The 13,824-nt window shown below is 47.0% G+C and overlaps 1 protein-coding gene and 1 long non-coding RNA gene across 20 annotated transcripts in view, besides 5 other annotated features; one reads left to right on the forward strand and one right to left on the reverse strand.

The window, feature by feature from the left end:
• CT66 (cancer/testis associated transcript 66) lies at positions 5,506-8,326 on the reverse strand. 3 transcript variants are annotated; one of them, NR_148926.1, is made up of 3 exons: positions 7,936-8,326; positions 7,357-7,393; positions 5,506-7,135 (listed from the first exon to the last, which is right to left on the reverse strand). It is a non-coding gene; the product is annotated as a cancer/testis associated transcript 66 (long non-coding RNA). The 3 variants fall into 3 exon arrangements; NR_148927.1 differs by having other exon boundaries at positions 7,749-8,326; NR_108105.2 differs by lacking the exon at positions 7,357-7,393.
• Positions 8,347-8,426: an enhancer, noted in NCBI's record as "active region_26093". NCBI's record gives its function as "activates an Ori minimal core promoter by ATAC-STARR-seq in GM12878 lymphoblastoid cells {active_cell/tissue: GM12878}" and the evidence as "EXISTENCE:reporter gene assay evidence [ECO:0000049][PMID:35858748]".
• Positions 8,737-9,156: a silencer, noted in NCBI's record as "silent region_18222". NCBI's record gives its function as "represses an Ori minimal core promoter by ATAC-STARR-seq in GM12878 lymphoblastoid cells {active_cell/tissue: GM12878}" and the evidence as "EXISTENCE:reporter gene assay evidence [ECO:0000049][PMID:35858748]".
• Positions 9,177-9,256: a silencer, noted in NCBI's record as "silent region_18223". NCBI's record gives its function as "represses an Ori minimal core promoter by ATAC-STARR-seq in GM12878 lymphoblastoid cells {active_cell/tissue: GM12878}" and the evidence as "EXISTENCE:reporter gene assay evidence [ECO:0000049][PMID:35858748]".
• The window catches only part of AUTS2 (activator of transcription and developmental regulator AUTS2), a 1,195,032-nt gene continuing 1,190,384 nt past the window's right edge, over positions 9,177-13,824 (forward strand). For all 17 annotated transcript variants that reach the window (XM_011516010.3, XM_011516013.3, XM_011516014.3 and 14 more), the window contains exon 1: positions 9,177-10,664. In XM_011516010.3, the coding sequence (XP_011514312.1) occupies positions 10,356-10,664 (309 nt within the window). In that variant the 5' untranslated portion in view covers positions 9,177-10,355. The remainder of the gene's footprint in view (positions 10,665-13,824) is intronic.
• Positions 9,607-9,656: an enhancer, noted in NCBI's record as "active region_26094". NCBI's record gives its function as "activates an Ori minimal core promoter by ATAC-STARR-seq in GM12878 lymphoblastoid cells {active_cell/tissue: GM12878}" and the evidence as "EXISTENCE:reporter gene assay evidence [ECO:0000049][PMID:35858748]".
• Positions 10,421-10,490: a silencer, noted in NCBI's record as "silent region_18224". NCBI's record gives its function as "represses an Ori minimal core promoter by ATAC-STARR-seq in GM12878 lymphoblastoid cells {active_cell/tissue: GM12878}" and the evidence as "EXISTENCE:reporter gene assay evidence [ECO:0000049][PMID:35858748]".

Consider the following 13,824-nt stretch of genomic DNA (forward strand, 5'->3'; position numbering starts at 1 on the left):
ATTTTTGCAATTTGCTGGAGCAATGGTTTCTTTTCTGTTTTTTTCTTTGAGCTACAGTGGCTAATCTGATTTTGGCGTTTCAGTAATTATGTCAATTAATATGTGCTGAGAGAAATTTCATTTGTTGAAATGGATACCAGGTGAATATATAATTAGTAGAAGGTTGTCTCTTTAAGTCTTTGTGTGCAATTTTCCAAGATTAGCTGCAATGGAACAGTAGCATTAGAATAGAGATAGCTAGCTTCTTATCAACTATCCTACTTAACTATTTCATGAAAGTTTCTGGTAAGATGAGCCCACTCTAGAAACGGGGCAACATTTTTTATTTGGGTAGTTCAAACAGCAAAGTGTTTGTTTGTTCTGAAAGTCAAGAAATCTTCATCATAAATGAAGATGTTGTTTCCTCTTTTTAGAATCTTTCCAAAGAATAATGGAACTTGAAGATAAATGAAATTCCTAGATATTCATTACCTCATATAGAAACATCTACTGTCTTCCAAAATTGACAGAGGCACTAAGAAACTCAAATACTACCAACTCATTTTTAAGGACACATGCTTGGTAGGATCCCATGTTAATACTAAGGCTAAGTTCCTTCAGGCTTCTTTTTTAGGGGTTTTGAAGTAGAAGTACGAATATCCAAAACTTCATGTCTTTATCTGCACTATAAAATACTGCAGCCTAGCTGGATGAGACGGTTAATTCCTGTAATCCCAGTACTTTCAGAGGCTGAGGTGAGAGGATCACTTGAGTCCAGGAGTTTGAGACTAGCCTGGGTAACATAGTGAGACCCCTAAAATTTCTAAAATTTTTTAGAAAAAATTTTAAAAGGCCAGGCATGGTAGCTCACACCTCTAGCCCCAGCACTTTGGGAGGCCAAGGCAGGAGGATGGCTTCAGCCCAAGAGTTCAAGACCAGCCTGGGTAACATAGCTAGACCCTGTCTCTTAAAAAAAATAGCTGGGCTAATGGTGGTATGTGCCTGTAGTTTCAGTTACTCCAGAGGGAGGATTGCTTGAGCCCAGGAGGTCAAGGCTGCAGTGAGCTATGATCGCACCACTGCACTTCAGCCTGGGCAACAGACTGAGACCCTGCCTCAAAAAAAAGAAAAGTTTTAGAAGAATAGATATAGACTGATATCATTTATATATGTTTTAAAACATGCCATAAAGCACTATATGTTGGCTGGGTGCAGTGCTCATGCCTGTAATCCCAGCACTTTGGGAGACCTAGGCAGGTTGATTGCTTGAGCCCAGGAGTTTGAGACCAGCCTGGGCAAAATAATGAAACCCCATCTCTACTAAAAATACAAAAAATAGTTGAGCGTGAGCATATGCACCTGTAGTCCCAGTTGCCTGGGAGGCTGAGGTAGGAGGATCACTGGAACCCGGGAGGCAGAGGTTGCAGTGAGCTGAGATTGCACCACTGCGCTCCAGCCTGGGTGACAGAGTGAGTCAAAAAGAATACTATATGTTGTTTAGGGATACTTCCACATGTCATAAAAATACAGAGAAATGCATGGAATGATAAGCAAGGAATTCAGGATAATGATTCCGGGGAGGCGGTAAGGGAGTGGAAGGAGAAAGGGTGATGGAAAATGGAGAGAGAAAACAAAATCCCAGAGGAGATATTGTTATGGGATCTCTGGGGTGTCAATTTTTCTGGCCGGAAACCTCTGTGGCTGTAGCACCTTGGCCTGAGTTCTTGTCCTGTGTCCAGGAAGAATGAGGGATGCAGACAAGTGAAGGGCGAAGAAGAAGAGTTTTATTTTAGTGTTAGAACAGCTTAGAGGAGTGGGTAGCTCCTCTCTGTACATAGGTAGTCCAGTCCAGTGTTCAGTGGTTAGCAGAGATGAGGCTCTGGAGAGGGTGGGACTTCTCACTGCAGGCAAGTCATTCCAATGTCTCTGCAGGTCTCTGAAGCTCTCAGGAGACAGAGTAGCTCCTTTTGGCTGGCAGGTGGTCTCGGCAGGTGGTATCTGTAGTTCTCAGTGGAGAGGGTACTCCTGTCTGCAACTGGTCACCCCATTGTCTCCAGCTATCAGCAGAGGGTACTTCTCTATGCTGGTGGTCGTCCCATCCCGTTGTCTCCCTGTTCGTCTTCTAGCCATCCTCTACCCTGCTCTGGCTGAGCCCAGGGCTTTTATGGACCTCAGAGGGGAGGAAGTGTCTACAGATTGGCCCATGGATGACCATGGGCGGCCATGGAACAGGCACCAGGAGTCCCCACTCTGTTTGGAGGGACTGGCAACCCTGTCCTAGCCTTCAAGCCCTCCCTGGCCTGAGGGTGGGGCCTTACTGGGGACCCTGCCCCATTCCGCCCAGAACTCTATCTGCCTCCTGCTGCCATTCCTGGCCCCAAGGCTTGGCTCCAACCCTGCTCTGATCCAGGAGCAGAAAGAGGCCAGGCAGTGGGAGTAGATACCCCTAAGCCTGCAAGGAGGGGGATGTGCAGGGATCCTTTCTGGGGGGCCTGAGGGTGCAGGCTGCAGAGACGACCCGGTCCTGTGCGCCTGGGAAGGCGGCTGCAGCTGCTCCTAGGAGCTCCTGCCCTGCCAACTCAGAAGGGGCAGGGCTCCCGCTTGTCCCTTGCCCCTGCCTGCTTTTTCCTGGAGCGGTAGGCCCAGGTCTGCAGCCACGGGTGCGGCGGCTGCAGCTGCACCCGGGAAGGCAGATCCTGCCCCTTCCCGGCTCCCCCAAGAGCTGCAGTTTGGGTGGCTATAGCCCCGCCGCCAGGTACAGCAGGAGGCCTGGGTCTGCGCTGTGGTTTGGGTGGCTGCAGCCGCATGGGTAGCTCCTGTCCCAACTCAAAAGGGACAGGGCTCCCACTTGCTCCATGGAGTGTGCAGCCCCAGCTGCGCTTCCCTGCTGCAGCAGGCATGATGGCAGCAGCCACTGACATCAGTATTATACACAGGAGGGTTCGAGTATTTTGGAAATGTTTTATTTCTTACGCTACTGGGGAGTACATGATTGTTCATTATATTATTTTGAAATATTTAATAACACATTAAAATATTCATAAATTAAAGTGTCACATAAGCAGAGAAGCTGTTAATTCTGAATGGAAGTAGTAACTAAAGTAAGCTTTCTAGATGAGTTGGCCTTAATGGTTAAATTGGTCTTGAGGGATGGGTGGAAATTCAGCAATTCTGGATGGCAGGAAAGGAGATTGTAGGACGCTGGACCAGCATGAGCAAAGGTGTGGGGGTGTTCTGGGAAGGAGCTGGGATGCATAGAAATATATTAATATATACTGCAATAAATGAGGTTGATAAGATTACTGGGGCAAGACCATGAAAGGCCTTGAACACAGCAGAAATACAAAATAATTACTATACTAAGTTTTGTAAATAGGAGCATGAATTAGGTCTGGGCTATAACTTATTTTTTTTTACATAATTCCAAAGAGTTGATAATTTCTTCAACTGGGATGTTATCTTATCTGAATCTGACCAGTTTAGATTTATACTGCTCTTCAAATAAACATAAAAATCACAATTCATCACAAGTCATCTACCAAATCTATTAGAAGAATTGATCGTCAGACTCATGATCAGTAATAAATACTGAGATCTCTCACTGGTAGCTTTAAAGAGTCATTTAAAGTTTCTTCTTATGACTATTCATCAATTTTCCTACCTGGTCATGTCAAGTGAAACCTCAAATAGAAAACATTGCCTTGAGAAGGGATAGAAATACTGGTTGGTTTTTAAAATAAATCTAAAGCTTATTAAATTTGCCAGAATGGCCATTTTACATGAACATCATTTGGTCACCAGCAGGCATCTTTCATTGGCTTCACATGGTAGAGTCTGAAGAATATGGGTTGATCAATGTGTCATTCATCAGAGACACCTGCAGAGATGATGAAAGTTTATCGTACAATATTATGGAAGGAAACACAACATTTAGCAAATTGAACCACTCATCTCCTCCTCCCCCCTTTTTTAAACATTAAAACTGCAGTTTGAAAAACAACTTCCAATGTGAAAAAAAATTAAAACAGCAGGTGATAATTAGGGCAAAGTTACAACAATGTTATTGCTGATGGGCTACCTGTCAGTTAATGCAAGTTATCACTTCAACCCAGGAATAGTTATTATTAAAAACAACTTATGGGGGTTAAAGAAAGGATGTTAAATGTGTTAGTCTCCTTATTTGCTCACTTGGAAATGGCTTAGAGATAGCTCCATTAACCACCTCAGTTCTATCCTGGTCTCGGCAAGGAATGCACACAAAATAACTGAAAGTTATAAACGACCAAAACATAAACCTTAGATGCCTTGAGTTAAAATCAATTTTCCTAATAAATTCAAATATTACAAACCAGTATGTAATATCAAGAATGAGGTACTAATAATTACCATGTTGGCAGAGTGCAAAGTGCAAGACAGAGGGATATAAAAATTTAGCAATTCAGAAAGTCTGATACAAAAATAGCTTTTACTAGTGTGAGGCTCAGAGTTCAGTTCAATCACTGAGCTATAATAGTATATTCTCTGACTAGTCAAGGTTGAATGTTCAAGATGTAGTTTGAGTATTAATCATTGATTCAAATAAAAGCACAACTGAAGAGGCTCTCCTGAGTTAAGTAGTTTATTCCTGAACACAGATGTAACTTTTTCCCTTTGTATTTTCCAGAACCACTTGACTGTTTTCCCTACTATACAAGCAACCTATTTTGGAATTATTTCTTTAGCTTTACTCTTTATCAACTATAATCTTTTGGGCAAAGAATTCACCTAAGCTTTTGCTGGTATGAATTATGAGTTCATTCATACTGGCCATTTCAAGTTTAAGCTTTAACTTTCATGCTACCCAGTAAGAAATCTGATAATATGCTATATAATTCATCTTGGTTTACTATATGGTATTCCATTGTACAGCAAATGTATTGTAGGATTCCATTTATATGAAGTACAAAAACAGACAAAAATCATTTATGCTATTAAAAGTCAGGATAGTGGTTACCCTTGATAGGGAGGTGATGACTAAGAGTGGGCACAAATTTGGCAAATAGTATTGTATGAATAAACCACATCTTTTTTTTTTTTTTTTATTTTAAGTTCTGGGATGCATGTCCAGAACGTGCAGGTTTGTTACATAGGTATACATGTGCCATGATGGTTTGCTGCACCTGTCAACCCATCATCTAGGTTTTAAGCTGCGCAAGCATTAGGTATTTGTCCTAATGCTCTCCCTCCCCTTGCCCCCCACCCCTCAACAGGCCCCAGTGTGTGATGTTCCCCTCCCTGTGTCCATGTGTTCTCATTGTTCAACTCCCACTTATGAGTGAGAACATGCGGTGTTTGATTTTCTGTTCCTGTGTTAGTTTGCTGAGAATGATGGCTTCCAGCTTCATTTATGTCCCAAATAAACCACATCTTATTTATCTATTTTACTATTCATAAGCATTGGGTAGTGTCATTAATAATAAAAAAAAACGAAGTATTATATAGGTACTCATATGTACACAAGCAATACTCATATGCATTTATATATACACAGCATTTTAAAGCTTTTTATTGAAGCATAATTTACATACACAGAGATGCATATATCAATAGTACAGCTCAATGAATTTTCACAAACTGAACACACCAGTACCCAGCTCAAGAAACAACACTACCAGCTCCCCAGAAGCCGATTGGTGTTCTCTCCTAGTCATCAGCTCTCTCTCAAGGGTAACCACTATCCTGACTTTGAATAGCATCAATGACTTTTGTCTGTTTCTGTACTTCACATAAATGGAGTCCCGCAATTGTACATCTCCCTTTTTTCACTTAGCACATTTGTAAGGTTCATATATTTTACTGCATTTGGAAGCAGATTGTTCATTCTTAGTGTGGTAGAATGTACTCTGTTGTATGAATATACCACCAATTATTTATCTATTTTACTGTTTATGACCATTTGGGTTGTTTCCTGGTTGGGGGTTATTTATGAATAGGGTTGCTCTGAGTGATTTAATAGTCTTTTGGCACACATGGGACATTGGTATATTCCTAAGCGTGGAACTGCTGGGCCATAGGGTTTTCATATGTTTAACTTTAACAGATATTGCCAGTTTTCCAAAGTGGTTGTACTATATACCTAGCATTTGACTTCCTGAGGAATCATTCTAAGAAGGGCATTTCAGCATAACCATTAAGAGAACAGGTTTTGGAGTCACTCAGATCAAATTTAGCTTATGACTAAGGAGTGGAGGCACCTTGGACAATATGCTTAACTTTAAGCCTCAGTTTACTCAACTGTAAAATAGGAATAATAAAACTTTTCTCAAAATTTATGAGAATTAAATGAGATATTATTTTAATGCAGTTAGAACAGTGCCTGAAACATAATAAATGCTTAGCTTATTATATGGCAGTTATTAATCGCTAGCAGTTAAAACACAGGCAAAATGGAGAATTAGAAACAAATATGGGCAATATAATCCAGAAACAATTTTAATTGTATGACTGAAGAAACCTAAGAAACTCTGACCCAAAAGGCATTGCTAATTCCAGGGAAGATTATATTGAATGCTGAACATTATCCCAAAATGCGTTTGCAAATTACCCTCACCAGAGGCAAGGTTCTTGGATGCAGTGTATTATCATTCATTTTTTTTTCCAGTTATTACTCTTTAAAGACAGGACTGCCAAGGGCTACTCTAGAAAGTCACTAATATAATACCTTTTATTATATTTCCCAATTTCACACCTTCCTCAACCCAATCCCCAAAGTTGTTGAAAGGTGACTGTAATTGCATCGTTAGTTCTTAGCTTTCCTGGAATCTTATCTAAGACAACTTTCACATCCCCCAAAACCCTAAAAATAAGCCCAGATTTTTGCTTTAAATTGCGAAGAACTTGCTTTATTTTGTAGGATGAGCTTGATAACCTCAGCGTGGATTTCAGCAGCTGCCGGAAACAGCACTCTAGAAGTTAACACAGGTACGCTCCGTACTGAGGCACTGTTTTAGCTAACTGCTCCAGGGACAGCAGGCTCAGTCCTCTTAGGTAAGTAATTTTGGAAGGTGGCACTGTGTTCCTAATAAATTGAATCAGATCCCTTAGGTTAGTCACTATTCTTAAGAAATAAAGCACGAAATCAACTTGAAGTCATCTGTTGAGAAGGCCGTGGATAGACCTGAAAAGGAACATTTTGAACATTTAATTGAACCTCTTTGATTTACAGATGAAAAAACTAGTCATTTAAAAAAGTCTTGCCTAAGGTCAAATGTTTTGTTTCCTGGACTGGCATAAAGCTCATCTGTCACAGTCGGGTGGATGTTCCTTTCTGTTCCTGGCAACTTGACCCCCCCGTCCCCCCAACCCCATCTCTCCATCTGATTTCATAAAGATCCAGACCTGGGATTCAGAAACGGGGAAGCTGAAGGAGTGTGACCTAAAACAAGAGAAAGACAAGCTATTAAATTGTTATTAGGAATTATAAGACGAGAGAGGCTTGCCTGCTAGAACGTCAAGAAGCAGTATCTTTTCTGTTTTGTACAACGCTGTATTCCCAGCACCTACAACTGTGCCTGCTAAGCCTGGTAAGGCCTAATAATTGTTAAATGAAAAACAATCAATCACTCAATCATAGATGTGTCAGATTGTGAGAGAAAACACGTCCTTACTGTTTTCTCTACCACCCTCCTTCCAGTAATACTAATAAAATGTGCACATTTGTATTCTAAAGAGGTGAAATCATATACACAGCGCTCTAGCACGGTGCCTGGCCCATTGTAATTAATACATGCCAGTTTATTTTCCTTTTCTTCCTCCACAAGTATGGGCTACTAGGGAGGACGAAGGGTTGGTGCCGTGGTGTTTATGTGCCTGGACAGAAAGTGAAGCGTATCCAAGAGGCTGCTGAGAGCGGGCTGTCGGTCTTTCTGATCCGTATAGATCAATTCCAGTGCCCTGAAAAACGCACAGCTATTTTACCCAGAGAGGCTGGTCGCTTTTGTTGATCGATTCTCGGCTGCAGTCAGCTCTTTAATACAACTTTTTATGAGCATCAGCCACATTGCGGCGGGAGGAGGGGCTGTGGTGGAAAAAGCAGGGAAACCGCCCCCCACTCCCAAAAAGTAAAGGAAGCCCGCGGGGCAGGGACTGCGGTTTGCCGGTCTAACGGGTCCTCGAGCTGGGGCGGCGGTCCCGGCCCCTTCGGCCCCGCCCCTCGCCCGCGGCCGCCTCCGAGGTTCAAGTTCGGCCCCCGGCTGTTAGGCCTCGCGCTCCCGGATCTGAAGCCGCCCGTGCGTCCCTAGGTCCCCCGCTGGAAGACGAGGCGGGAATCCCAGGGGTCATCCGGGCGCGGGGTCGCTCGTCCACGCACTGTGGTGCCACGTGGAGGAAAAGTTTCCAACTCTGCCAGTTGGTGCTCCCACTGCGCCCAGGCGGAGCAAAGGCCCGCGCTTTGGCACCCGCTCCCCGTTCTGTCTCCTCCAGTCGCGCCCCCTCCCAGGGACGCCCCCCTTGTACCCCTTCTCTGAATTCCCTTCTCTCCTCGCAGCGCAGGTAGCCAAGGGAAAACACCCTTGGGGGCTGGTGGGGCTTCCCGAGAAGGCGGCCTCGGGCCGGCCAGGGGTAGAGGATCCAGGGACAAGTGTCCCGAGGAGGATGTGGGGGGCGCGCGCGCGAAGTGGCCTGGGAGCAGGGGCCCACACGCGTCCCCGCTGCGACAGGCGGGATCCTCCGGCGGCTTCCACGCCCTGGCGCGCCAACTCTGCCCGGCCGCGGCCGACCCCACGCGGGCGCCCCCTCCACGCCCCCGCCCCCGCCCCCCTCACAGCTCCCCACCGCCCCCAGTGCGCAGGCCCGGCCGCCCCAGCGCGCATGCCCTGGGCTCGCGAGCGCGGCCAGCCCCCAGCCTTTTGCTTTCTACACACTCTACAACTGGGGAGGGGGCGGGGGAGGAGGGAGCCCAGCCGTCCACGTGATCCCGCCGGCCGGGGCCGCGGGGGCGGGAGCGCGCGCCGAGAGAGGCGCGGGGAGGGCGGGTGCGCGGGAGCGCGCGCACTCGAGCGAGCGAGCGAAAGCACGAACGAGCGAGCGAGCGAGCGAGCGAGCGGGCGGGCGCGGGGTTGGGCTGAGGCGGGCGGCGGCGGCGGCGGCGGCGGTGGGCTGGCCGCGGAGGGGGAGGAGCGGGAGCTGCGCGAGGCAGGCGGGCGGGCGGAGGATGGGGCAGTGCCCGGGCTCCCGCTGCAGCCGCCCGGGGACACGCCGTGCACCCTCCGGCTCGGGGCTTTCTCGGCGGCGGCGGCGGCAGCAGCAGCAGCGTTAGCGGCGGCGGCGAGAGCAGCGTTCCCGGCTGCGCTTCTCCCTCAGGCGGGGCGGCGAGAGAAGCGGCGGCGGCGGCGGCGGCACACCGGTGTCTCTCCCGCTGGAGATTTCTTTCTGCTTTCCTCATCGACTGACTGACTCACCCCCTCCCTTTTTTGAGGAAGGGTGACCTCTTCTCTGGGACTGGAAAAAATATTTTTGTGAGGAGGGGGGCGGGTGGCAGCGACAGGGTTTGCTTCTTCTCTTCTTTCATCTCCCTCTCCTCCCCCCTCGAAGACCGAAAAGCAAACCCCACAACTGCTCCAGCAGCATCCTCCTTCCCTTCCTCCGCCTCCCTTCTCCTCCGCCGCTCGCAGTTTCGCCCTCTCTTCCGCTAATGATTGCATTATTATGCTCCCCTCTCTGGGGGGTCTCGCCCCTCTTGGGTCGCTCCGGAGCCCCGGCCTCCCCTGGCTGCATTTCTTAAAAATTTGGGAGCCTGGGAGTGAGTTTTCTCCGAGGCGTGTGTGAGAGGCGGCGGGGGTGTTTTCCTGCGCGAGGGGCGGGTGAAGTTCATTGCCCCCACTTTTCCCGCGACCTTTTTCGGACCCGATTTTGGATCGAGTTGAGGGGGGCGCGGGCGTTTTCGGGGGGCGGGGGGCGCGGCGGAGAATGGCCGCGGGGAGGGCTCCCCGGAGCCTCCCAGTCTCTTGATCAAAGCATTCCGCTATTCTGATTTATTGCTTGCTTGGTGAGTTATTTTTTTTTCCTCTAAAGGAGACCTGTGTGTTCAGCCATTACTTTGCTCGGCGCTGCTCCCAGGCATCTCCGACCCTCGGTGCTGTGGGGAGCCCCACACTTGGGCTCCTCGCCTCTCGCCCTCGCTCCCCGTCCCTCCTCCCCTCTCTCCGCCCCTTCCCCCTTTTCTTTCTCCTCTCTTTCTTCCCCTCTCTCCCTTCTTTCGGCCGCCGTCTCCCCCGCGCCCTCCTCGGGGCGGAGGGAAGCCGTGAAGGGGGAGGGAGGGCTCGGTGTCAATTTTTTTTTGTGTGGCTGCGGCCGTAGCCTGTGGCGGGCAAGCGGGGAGACCCCGGCGCAGCAGAACCATGGATGGCCCGACGCGGGGCCATGGACTCCGCAAAAAGCGGCGGTCGCGGTCGCAGCGAGACCGGGAGAGGCGCTCCCGGGGCGGGCTGGGGGCCGGCGCGGCCGGCGGCGGCGGGGCTGGCCGGACCCGGGCGCTCTCACTCGCCTCGTCGTCGGGCTCCGACAAGGAAGACAATGGGAAGCCCCCGTCCTCCGCCCCGTCCCGGCCCAGACCCCCGCGGAGGAAGCGGAGAGAGTCCACCTCGGCAGAAGAGGACATCATTGATGGATTTGCCATGACCAGCTTTGTCACTTTTGAAGCGCTGGAGGTAAGGGGGACCCCCCTTCCCCCGGGTTCCCTTTATGCACGACCCCACTCGGCTGCGCCCGGCTCTCCTGCCTCCCTCGCCGCGCTCCGGGCTGTCTGTCTGTCTGTCTGTCTGTCTGTCTGTCTAGGCTGAGGTCTTATTGTTGGTGGGGGGAGCTGGGGGCGCGGGCAGACAGGCAGCAGGAGGGAGTCGCAAAGCCGTGCCTGGTCTCGTTTCCTCGCTCGCCTTTCCCCTGCGCCCCCTCCCTGCACCCCCTCCACAGCAGATGGGCAGAAAGAAAGGGGTTCGGGCATCACAACAATGCGCCCCCTCTCCACAGAGAGCTCTGCCCCCACTCCTTCCTCCTCTCCCTCCCCAATCATGGCTTCTTGGCTGGTGGAAGTCTCTTTGCTGGGTTTGGGGCGCCTGTGGACGGTTCTGTGTGCTTTCTACAGAGTCATATGTTCGTGTGTGTGTGTGTGTGTGTGTGTGTGTGTGTGTCTGTGTAGTATATACCTTTCCCGGGTGTCCTCGGGACTGGAGACTGATGGGGTTTTGTGATTTCTTTGCGCCTCCCCCCATTACCCCCCCATATTCTTTTTTTTTTTTTTTTTTTGGTGAAGCTGGGGAAGGGGGCGTTTTCTCCTGGTTGGGAGAAAGGAGGGAGGAGGGGAGAGAAGAGGGAAGGGTGGAATAGCTCTCTGTATTCTGTATGGGGTTCTGTTACAGAAAGGGTTAATTATAATATTATCTATACACATACATAGGCACATGTGTGTGTGTACATGAGCAATTTAGTTAAAGGACAGAAAAAGGTACACCAGGGAAGACTGGTGGGAGGGAAGAATAAAATCCTAGCTGCTATCTGAAGGGCTTGTCACCAATTGTCCCTCTCCCTTTCCTTTTTTGTGTTTTCTTTTTTTTCTTTCTAAGTGATTGGCTTTGTGTGTGTCTATGTGTGTGTCTTTCTTTATTCCTTGGGCACCTGCAGCGTTGATTTTCAAATGCACATTTTCCTTCCAGCCAACTGGCTCCTAGGGTAGGGGGAAAGGGAAAAGGGAGGGAGGGGGAGACTGTCCAGGGTTGGGGGGAAACTGTCTTTGCCTGGACCTGTCTCCTTTGGTGTGGTATTGGTCATTGGCCTCTATAAATTTAACCGCCTAATTTCCTCCCCCACCTCCCTGTCCCCACCCCCCACACACCATGCACACACACACAGAAGGCTTTGAGATTCTGCAGAGTTGGTCCACCTTTCTTAAGCACAAAACCAAGATACGGTTTATAGTTGGCTTATAGTGTTTCATGCACCTGATGTGATGGTTTGAGGTTCCTGAAGGAAACTTTTCCCTTTCCATTTTTTTTTTTGCGTTATTATGGTATTGTTTCACATGCTCAGATGCAAGCTTTGTTAATGACAGCTTAAATCTCACATACGGTAACTGTACAGGTTTAGATTGCTGGTTCTGTTTATGTGTTTGGGTGTCAGCTTTAAATATTTTTTTCAAAGGAAGGCTTCCTATCAGTGTTGTCCTTTTCTGTGTGAACTGCTTTTGGTTTGGGCTGCTGGTGGTGATGGTGGTGGATGGTGGCCAGTGGTTGGGAGTAAGGGAGGTATTGGTGGTGGTGGTGGTGGTGCAGGTGGTGGTGATGGTGATGTTGGTGGTATTGGTGGTGGTCGTAGATTTTGATGTTAGTGATTGAATCAGTTACTCTCTGGTTCTAGAATTGGTGCTTTATTGGCCAAAATTTTGAGTGTTGAGGTTCACCACTTATTAGAATAATTCCAACTGTGGCTTTAAGTTTGCCAAGGTGGGTGGTGGTTACCATACAGTGTGACCTCTTTCTGTCTCTCTCTCTTGTTTTAAAATAGGAGTTGAAATGGCAGCATGTTCCTATTAGAACATGCTGCTTGGAATTTGGTTCATCATTGCTGTCTGTGGTTGTTTTGGAAAGTACTTGTAAGAGCTGGTTACAAGTGGTTCTGCTTTCTGCATGGTTATCCTGAGCTCAGCAATCAAGAGGGGCCACTGGATTCCCACGAACATTTTTGGAGGACAAGTAGGGATATATGTGTGTGTGTATATATATATATATATATATGTGTGTGTGTGTGTGTGTGTGTGTGTGTGTGTGTGTGTGTGTGTGTGTGTGTATATCTCACTTATGCAGTTCTTTTTGATGGTTTTATTTTTAACAAATAGGTATTTGACTGGGCTTGTGATATATATCTATTTATTTGGCTTTTGCGAGAAAATGTGCTCATTTTAATTTATTTTGTGCCTAAAAAACTTGTAATTTTAAAAGCAGACCAAGTTCAAAATGTACAGTTAATACCATTTCTTTCTTTGCTCTGATTATTTTTTTCTGCTACTTTTCTAGATTAAAATCCAGGATATTTTGGTTAGCTGAATACTATGTCACCTTCATATCTAAATATCATATGTCTATCTATGTGTAGGTAGAAAAGGTCTAACTTTTAAAAAAGTTTACTTAAAATTCTGTAGAAAAAATTAAACATACAGAAGTAGACAGAACACCCAACATCCAGGTTTGAGAACTACCAACTCATATCTCATCTTGTATTTTCTATATTTCATCTATTTCCTCTCCCACATATGATCTCATCCATATTTCTCACACAGAAATACTTCTGTATGAATCCCTAAACCATAATGACTCCAAAAATCCTCAGACCCCACCAAAACCCGCACAGCAGTATTATCACACTTAAATGAATGTATAACAGTTCACTAATATCAAATATCCTGTCAGTGTTTACATTTTAAGAGGCCCAACTTTTGTAGGGAAGCCGTAAATACATTTGTCAGATTAAAAACACACAATGGGAAATAGAAATCATCATATATGTCTGGTTCTTTGGCAAAAGGTAGTTTTGTTGGCTGTGTGCTATCACATTGTGTCCATGCTGGATGGTCAGAACATATGTGTTAGTGATTGTTAAATTAAAACCTCTGGTGGTCCACTCTATTCAGTCTGGAAGATTTATTGAACTATCACCAAGAAATGTGAGGGCTTATTGGGAACAGGCAACTAAACTATGAGCTTGGACAAAAATGTGTGTTGGGGGAGTGTTTGTAAAAGTTAAGAATTATTATAGATGCTAAGAGTTATCCTAAATACGTAGTATGTTTTCGGGCCTTGTGTTTAGAAATGAAATCAG

This window comes from Homo sapiens, chromosome 7 (assembly GCF_000001405.40).
Source record: "Homo sapiens chromosome 7, GRCh38.p14 Primary Assembly".
Taxonomy (NCBI): domain Eukaryota; kingdom Metazoa; phylum Chordata; class Mammalia; order Primates; family Hominidae; genus Homo; species Homo sapiens.